The 8,364-nt window shown below is 39.2% G+C and overlaps 1 long non-coding RNA gene across 1 annotated transcript in view; it reads right to left on the bottom strand.

The window, feature by feature from the left end:
* The window catches only part of LOC105375836 (uncharacterized), a 52,683-nt gene that overhangs the window by 6,521 nt on the left and 37,798 nt on the right, over nucleotides 1-8,364 (bottom strand). The window contains exon 2 of the long non-coding RNA NR_188096.1: nucleotides 7,229-7,434. This is a non-coding gene — a long non-coding RNA (uncharacterized LOC105375836). The remainder of the gene's footprint in view (nucleotides 1-7,228; nucleotides 7,435-8,364) is intronic.

Genomic DNA, 8,364 nt, shown 5'->3' with positions numbered 1-8,364 from the left:
TTATCTTATACTTGAAATTACTAGAAAAGTTAAAATAAAAATTATTCAAATATTTGGAGACAGTTAAAGTGGCAACTGCTTTCAATAATATATGACTTATTTGAATTTGAGTTGGTCGAGGAAGCCAATATATTGGAAGCCAAATAATTTGGCAGCAATATAGCCTCGGAATGACACTAGCAGAGGAGACATTGTTATGAGCTATGCTATAAAAGTGCATATAAGACACAGACTGAACTACAGGATCTAGTGTAGCTGTTTTTAATATTTTTTAATGGAACTAGGGAGGAAAGAGTTAAAATAGCTGGTCTGCAACCAGTTCATTTGTTTTGTGAGGAAGCCCCCTCACCACCGGGCAACTAAGTGGAGAAAGCAAAGAAAACAGTGACTGTCTATTCTCCTTGCCAACTAGACCTGTGATAAATAGTGATTTTTGCTATGTGGAAAAAACCTACAGAATATCTTTAGCAGGATGTCCCTGGCTAGAGGATTACTTATAATAAACCTATAATCTAAGGGTTTATGATTTTGGGTTATACAATGGACGTGTTTCATAACTTAGATGTTCTCCTTGTTGTTTGAGTTGAACTGCAACTTCATTAGAAACTCCAGCTATTATTTAGGGGAAGAGACCATGTCTGATGCAGGAAGGAAGGACTAGGAACCACCCTTTTAGTCCCAGATTTCTCTCACTTCACCCAAACTGGAGATATTCTGTATTTTTGAAATTATCAATAAAACTTGATATTTGTATGTCGTAACACATCTCACCCAGAAATTCAGGTTAAAAATATGTTGTTCAAGCTTGAGAGTTATTTACTAGGGAAATGTATCAGCAAGTTTTTGTTTAAAAAGAACAATGCTGCTACTGATAACATCAATAATTATAAATCCTTATATTTATTGTTATACCAAGTGTTTCATGTGTCCTGAATTACTACTCTCAACAGACCTATGAGTTAGTTGTATAAAACTTGTGTCTGTCAAGTAAATTTGCCAAAGCCACATTGTTAGTAAGTGGAAGAGGTGGGAAAAATGTGATTTTTACATGCAAAATGATGGGAATTCTGAGGGTCAGTGTTCATGGAGGTTAGTGAATTGCAACTAATGAGATTGGGAGAATAAAAACTAGGATAGACTTGGGAATTAGACAGCTTAGTTTCAAGTCTCAGCTCCATTTGGGATTAGTGTGGTTTTGTGCAAAATGCTATCTTTTCTACACTATAGTCTCCTCAGTAAAATAGTGACCAAATATTCACATAAAGTTATTGTGCTCATATAACTATAGTAAGTACTCACTAAGTGTTAGTTGATAAAATTATTATTATTTTCAATTGGCCTCACTACATAAACATTGGATTGAATGATTTCTATGGTTTCTTCCAGTTCTAAAATAACATGACTCTGGATTCCCATGGGCTGCTTCTCATAGTCACCTGACACATAACGAACTCATGAGATCTAGTGGGTAGTTGGGACATGACTCATTCCTACTGCCATCTCCTTCCCATCAGTAGCTGCAAAATAAAACTTGGATATCACTATGTGCTAGGAAGAAGGCCTGAGTATCTAGCAAGAGGAAACACAGGTCTTTCGTCTTTCTGCATAATGAAAGTTTTGTTTCCTTCTCCAAATATAAAAGTGATTCATTCTTGACAAATGGATTGCCTTATCACCATTGGTTCATGCCTTCTGGAAGTGAGGGTTTGTCCTAGGAAGGGGAAAGGACTGGGTTGGTTACTTTCTCACCTAAGAGGGAGCACAGCGTTGCTGATTCACAAGTCATGGGGCTTCCCCTGCAGTGAAGCTCAGGGAGCTGATGTCTCAGATGAGGGATATGGGCAGATTCAGTGTTCAAATGATGACGCCAGGGCTCTATTTCTCTCTGTATTTCTCTGGCACCTTCATTTTCAGGCCATGTATCTTTAAGTGTGGCACTGGCAGGTCCAGGCTCACATAGTCCATGCAGCTCATAAAAACTGAGGAACAGAGAGACCCTCTTTTTTCCAGAACCCATATATTCTAGGATGAGATTCTAACTGTCCTATCCCTGAACCAATCCCATTGCTGGGGGATGTGTGCTTTAGTGGGTCTGGGCTCAGTGATGTGTTCCCAGAGCCCCTTGGGTGCATGTGCATGTGTGTACTAGCAGGGAGGCATCAAGAAGGGTTAGTTTTCCTTGATCCTTATAGAATGGGTTTCCACTGGAAAGATGGATCCTACTACCAGAGAAGAGAAAGCAATGCTGGAAAGAGGAATACAATGGTTATCTACCACAGTTTCATCTAGTTACACTTTGACCCTTTCCTCAATGGCTCTACAAGAAGGAAGGGGATGAATCTGGGAGAATGGAAAAATGGGGAGGACAGCTTTTAAAGGAACGCATGTGGAGAGCATATTTGCTGGTGGAGGTGGAGAGTGACCTAAGGTGTGGGGTGAGTGGACAATAAGAACAGAAGTGTCACTGGCACAGTCTGCCCCGGGCTGGAGGGACACGGAGTTCTGACACCTTGCACTACTTCTTCCCTTCCACTCTGGGAAATAGGCTCCAAATTCACATATCACCAAGAAGAAAACCCACACTGAGAACATTTTCATTCCCTAGTATCAATTCTAAGTAGCAACTAATATCTAAGTTTATGCATTTTGTATTAATAGAAAAGAATAGAAGATACTTAAAATTAGTAAAATTTAACACAGAAGCCTTAGAGTAAGGGATACCTTTGAAGAGTTCTAATACTGACATTATTTTTTAAATAGTACAAGGTGACATCTGTTAGAAATCAATGAGTATTTTCAGTTGTTAGAAATAAAAACTCTAAAAATGCGACTGCTAACACAAAACACAAGATACAACAATTGCTTCCCTCTGCTGACTAAATTAATGCTTTTCCTGGACCTTCTGTAAAGATGGGCTCTTTAACTCATGGACTTTGTCATATGGTGGCTCTCTGGACCTAATTTATCCTATGACTGTCCCCTCTAAATGACACACCGTTTTGAGATATGTAGATCTAGGTATATTGTTGGCATAGAGAAGTGATTATGATGCAGGGACAATAAGAGGAAAAGACACAAAATAATGTGTCTTTAGCTTACTTACAAAGAAGGGGATTCTGCCATCCGCCTTGCAACCCCACACAACACTGTGACCTATGCCAGCTGCAGCATACTTCAATTGAAGTGAAAATTAAGAGTATTTATCATTCTCTGGGACAAACTGAGGAGTGCACCACCAAATACTGATTAGGTTTGTCTTTTATGATGACTTTTACTGGCAAAGTACAAAATATTTTCCCATAGCTTGTTGACATTTTGGAACTCTGCTTTGATGACCACACTGTGATACGATGACCCTCTGCGGTGTCTTCTTTCATTCTATGAGCTTCCCCACAACTTCATTTTCAAATTTAAAAACAGATCTCGGCTTTTCTTTAAGTCACATTTTGAAATTGTTCTTCCATATCAGCATTTACTTCTAAGGGCTACTTTTAAAGAACGAGGGTCTTTGTAGTTAGATCAACATTCAGGCAAAAATTATTTGCTTTAAGGGAGGTTTCTTTGGATTCTGTCATTTAAATATTTGTTCAAACATAAGTAAGGATGTTAACACTATCCCATATCCCACCCCTTTCCAAAAAAACCCCACAAATATTTTGACAGGGAGTAAAAACTTTGTGAGCCAACACTGTCTTTGCTACTGACTTGTTTTGGTGAAGTGTTCAGGTATGGTTAGGCTTCTGTGTTTTGTGATTCAGCTGCTGGTTGCACTGAGTTTTCCTGGCCATATCTACTCAAGCAGGCTTTGCTAGTGTCTTTCTCACCATTTTCATAAAACAGATCCTAATGACTGGCAATCGATGGGTAAAGTATCAGCTACTGTACATTACACTGTCTATATCATAGGAATACTGAAGGAGTAAAGATTCAGTTGTGAAGAACAAATATACAGTCAACTTTCATTGTCTTCTAGGGAGAGTCTCATGATATGAGAAATTTAATTGTCAAATAGTCTCAGATCATTGATTCTTTTCCTACTTGCTTGTGCTATTGGGAAATCACATGGCTCACAAAGTAATGAAAGTATATTTTTAAGATCTGACTCATTGCAGGAGACTGGATGTCCCCAAATGGTACAGTGTCTTTTATTCTAAATGATCTTCATACAATAAGACCTTTGCATGCCTCTTATCTGGTGCTTGGTCTATTCCTCCCTTGAACACGGACAGACCAATGTTAATGTCACAATCCACAGAGTATGTGACTTCTGAGATGAAATCAAAATACACCCTGCATTTCTGCCTTTCCCTTTTGGGATTCTTACCCTTGGAACCAGCTGTCATCTTGTGACAAATCCCAGGCAAGCCCTTGCTGAGATGCCACATGTAACTGCCCCACTGAGGCCCCAGCCAACAGAGGACATCAACTGCCAGGTAGGTGAGTTGAAGGCATTGCCCTAGATTTCAACTGCTGGCCGTACAGTCACTCTCAGCTTTTGTCTTTGCAGCTGGGAATCCAGACAATGTGGTTCAGAGCAATCCATTCTTGCTGTCTCCAAATTCCTTACCTACAGAATTTGTGAGTGCAGCTGAGTTTGTTTTGTGCCACCATGTTCCGCAGCAGTTTGTTATGTAGCAATAGAAACTGGAATGCACAGCGCTAGAAGGCTACAGAATTTCACCCCATTCTTCCACTGAAAACCTCCCCACTCACCTCTCCACAGTGCATATGGGAAATCTACTGCTCTGCATGATAAAAAGAATCATCCCAAGTAGATTCAGCCTTTCTTCAAAACCTCGTTAGCTCACCAATTCACATCCTCTTTAAGGAATAGTAATACATAAATGCTAAGGCTTTTAAGAGACTCATGTAAACCCCATTCCTCTGACTACTGCTGGGCCACAGAAAGCCAGACAATGAATACAACTAAAAAGACAGCCTAGTGGTGGCAGAGAATAATACAATGAAATTATTAACAGTGGAATTGAGCAATAAATTGAAACATTTTATAAGGACACAGAAAACAATTTCTCTTAGATATGAATAATTTCCCTATCGTAATAAAGTGTTTGTGGTAAAAAGTAAATTTGTCATTGCATATTATCTCAGATTCCTAAATATTACTGTGTCAAATTTATGCAAATATTATCACTGACAACATTATAAGAAAGTTAAAGAATCATGGTTTTGGGAGGCAGAGAAATTTATATTCGAAATCACCTCCATCGACTGGTTTTATGACTATGAATGTATTATTTAACAGTTCTCAGACCTAGTTTCTTTGTGCACTAGAAACAAAGATAAAAATGCTTATCTTCTTAATCTGTTAACATATTCGACTGTTTGAGATTTTGAGTTAGGAATCAGAAGTATAAATAGATATGTACTTTTTTGATACTGGGTTAAAATATATTTCCCAAGGCAAATTATATAAAGTTAATAAGCTGAAGAAAACATCAAAGAGTCCATAATTATTTCTTCTCAGAGTAGTAGCAATTTATTTGATCTGAATTAATGGTAGTTGGGGTTTTGGTTTCTATGACTAGATAGAGAAACAAGTTCATTAAAGCTTTACAGAACAGGAAGGCTAGCGGGGTTTAAAGTTGGCCTTATACAACTCAAAATATTTGGAGCATAATTTAGTCCATCTTTCCTTTAAGTCTGATAATAGATTTTCAGACAACAATATAAGGTAAAGTGAAGGGTGGGGAGGAGGGAATCTTTTACTGCCTTCACTCTCCATAAAAGAGAGGCTATAACTGACTTAAATGCTTAGAATCATTTATTATCTAACAAACATAAATCTCACACACCACACACACCCCCCCCACACACGCGCACACTCAAACCGTAGCTTCTGTGTGAAGCATAAAGGCTGCAAAGTCTTCCACACCATTTGGCAAAGAGCATAAGAGGATGGTGTCCCCAGCAGAGGCTGTGAGTCAGCCCAAATGCAGGCGGCCCCATGACTGTGGGGCACACAGAGCTGGAGGTGGGAGAAGGGCCTAGGGGTCACTGCCCCCTCACTCCAAGCTTCAGCAGGCAGGGGCAGTGGATGAGGCTGCAGGCCCCAGTGTTGGTGGACACGTCCTGGCTCACGGCCTCTGGGAGCGCTGGGGAACCAAGAGCAGACAGACCCTTACAGCAGCCATTCCTTCACTGCAACCAAGTGTGCAGCGGAAACCCAGTGAGGAGGGACACAGTGTGATGGGATATGTGGAAAAGAAATGCTAAACCTCAGCAGGTGATTTGGGAATGATTAAAGTGACTTGAACTTACATCACTTGGAAAGCAGTTTTATTATGCATATAAACACATAGTTCTGTCTAGAAAATAAAAATATAGTCTTAATTTTTTGCTTTGGACATTAATACTTTACATTAACTTCATTAAATGTTTTTCAATAACACCCCTGTTTGTTATATATGTATACATACACATTCATATACAAAGACACGTGTGCACGCACACACACACGACAACGTTTATAAAACAAGAACACTAATACTGTCATGTGTTGGTGGCATTGTCCAATTGGTAGATAATTGTAAAGCTTAATTTTAATAGTGGGACATTTAATAAGGTATCTTACAGTTATTTATCTATACCAACTAAATGTTTGGTTTATGGAATCCTTTTATGGGATTGAGATCACTGTTGCTGCTTAATGGCTTTTATTGAAAAACCCAAGGTCTCCTGTTGGACATTGATCAATTGTAGGAATCTTAGCTTTATTGATTACTCCCTCAGGAAGTACTTTCTTTACCCTTAGTGTACCTGTGGTACCTTTCTGTTCCATTCACACAACATTTGTATTAAATTATTTTTTTCTAGAAACTTTTGGGAACACGTTCCAATCTCCTTCCCACTAGCTACCTCCATACAATCACAAGCCCTCTAAGTGCAGCTTTGGAGTCTTACACAAAATTTTTATTCCTCAGGGCCCAGCACAGTGCCTTGTATATTTCAGAGTCAGTTAAATATTCAGAATAGAGGTGTAAATGTTGTAGATTTCTATATAAGATCTAAAGAATCCTTAACAATATGAGTGATCTTTTCTTCAAAGAATAATGAGCAGTGGATCAGGAACCTGGAACTTAGGCTCTGCTTTTAGCTAGCTGCGTATCTTAGTCTTTAATTTCCACAGCTCTTAATTTTCCTCTGTAAAACAAGCAGGCGTAAACAACAGTCATAAATATTGTATTCTATGAGCAAGCCTAATTTTTACCTGTGCCTTCTTCCTCTCAGATTTACTGTGGCCATATTGGGGACAGATGCATATCACGAGGATTTCTTTCCTGGAGGCATTAGTCCGTGATAACAGGTATTTTTGTCACTCCAAAGCTTAGTTGAAAACGGTGTTTCAGGAAATGGTGTTACAGCTCTGATTGGAAGAGCTGGAGGCTGTCCTGCTGGGCACCCCTGAGTGCTTTCCTGAAATGAAAAAAAAAAAAAGTTTCCTGACTCACTTTTTATAAAGCTCGTATATGACACTCCTGGTAAATCAAGTCTGTACTGAATTTGTGATGACTGTTAGTTTGAAAATTGATAGTGAGAAACTAAAGTACATATATTAGGCTGAATTCTATTCCCCTCTCTGCCCACCAAAAACTCATGTGCCGTATAGCACTAACCCCCAGCACCTCAGAATGTGGCCTTATTTGGAAATAGAGTCTTTACAGAAATAATTAAGTTAAAATGAATCCATTAGTGTGAGTTCTAATTCAATATGACCAGTGTCCTTATAAAAAGAGGGCATTAGGACACACACACACACACACACACACACAGAGGAAAGAGCATATGAAGACGATTATCTACAAGCCAAGGAGGGAGGCCTCAGAAGAAACCAATCCCGCTGACACCTTGACCTGAGATTTCTAGCCTGCAGAATTGTAAGAATATAGATTTTTGTTGTTTAAGCCACCCACACTGCGGTACTTTGCTATGGCAGCCTGAGCAAATGAATATAGTCCATAATGAATCTCAAAATCTGTAACATTATTTAATTCAAATTTAAACAACATTGTGAAAACTAAGATTTTTAAAAATTTCAAAATTTTATCGAGTTTCTTTCCAAAAATGTTTCAATTTTAAGAATCAGATTGTGATATACATAATCAAGATGGCCGACTAAATGGCGCCAAGAGGAACATCTGCCAGTGAGGGACCAGGTCATCAGAAAGACTGGTCCCTTCCTAGCAGATCTTCAGAGGGAAGCATTGAGAGTTGACAGAGGGAAGACACAGAAGCTGGGCTGAAGGCAGAGGAAGCTGGGAACCCCACACAGGGCTATTGTGCACTGGAACTCATTCCTGGCCTCCAGTGGCTCCTGGGGAAGGGGTGAGTTGAACAGGCAAGGAA

This window comes from Homo sapiens, chromosome 8 (genome assembly GCF_000001405.40).
Source record: "Homo sapiens chromosome 8, GRCh38.p14 Primary Assembly".
In the NCBI taxonomy this organism is placed as follows: domain Eukaryota; kingdom Metazoa; phylum Chordata; class Mammalia; order Primates; family Hominidae; genus Homo; species Homo sapiens.
This window is presented reverse-complemented; position numbering and strand designations above follow the sequence as displayed.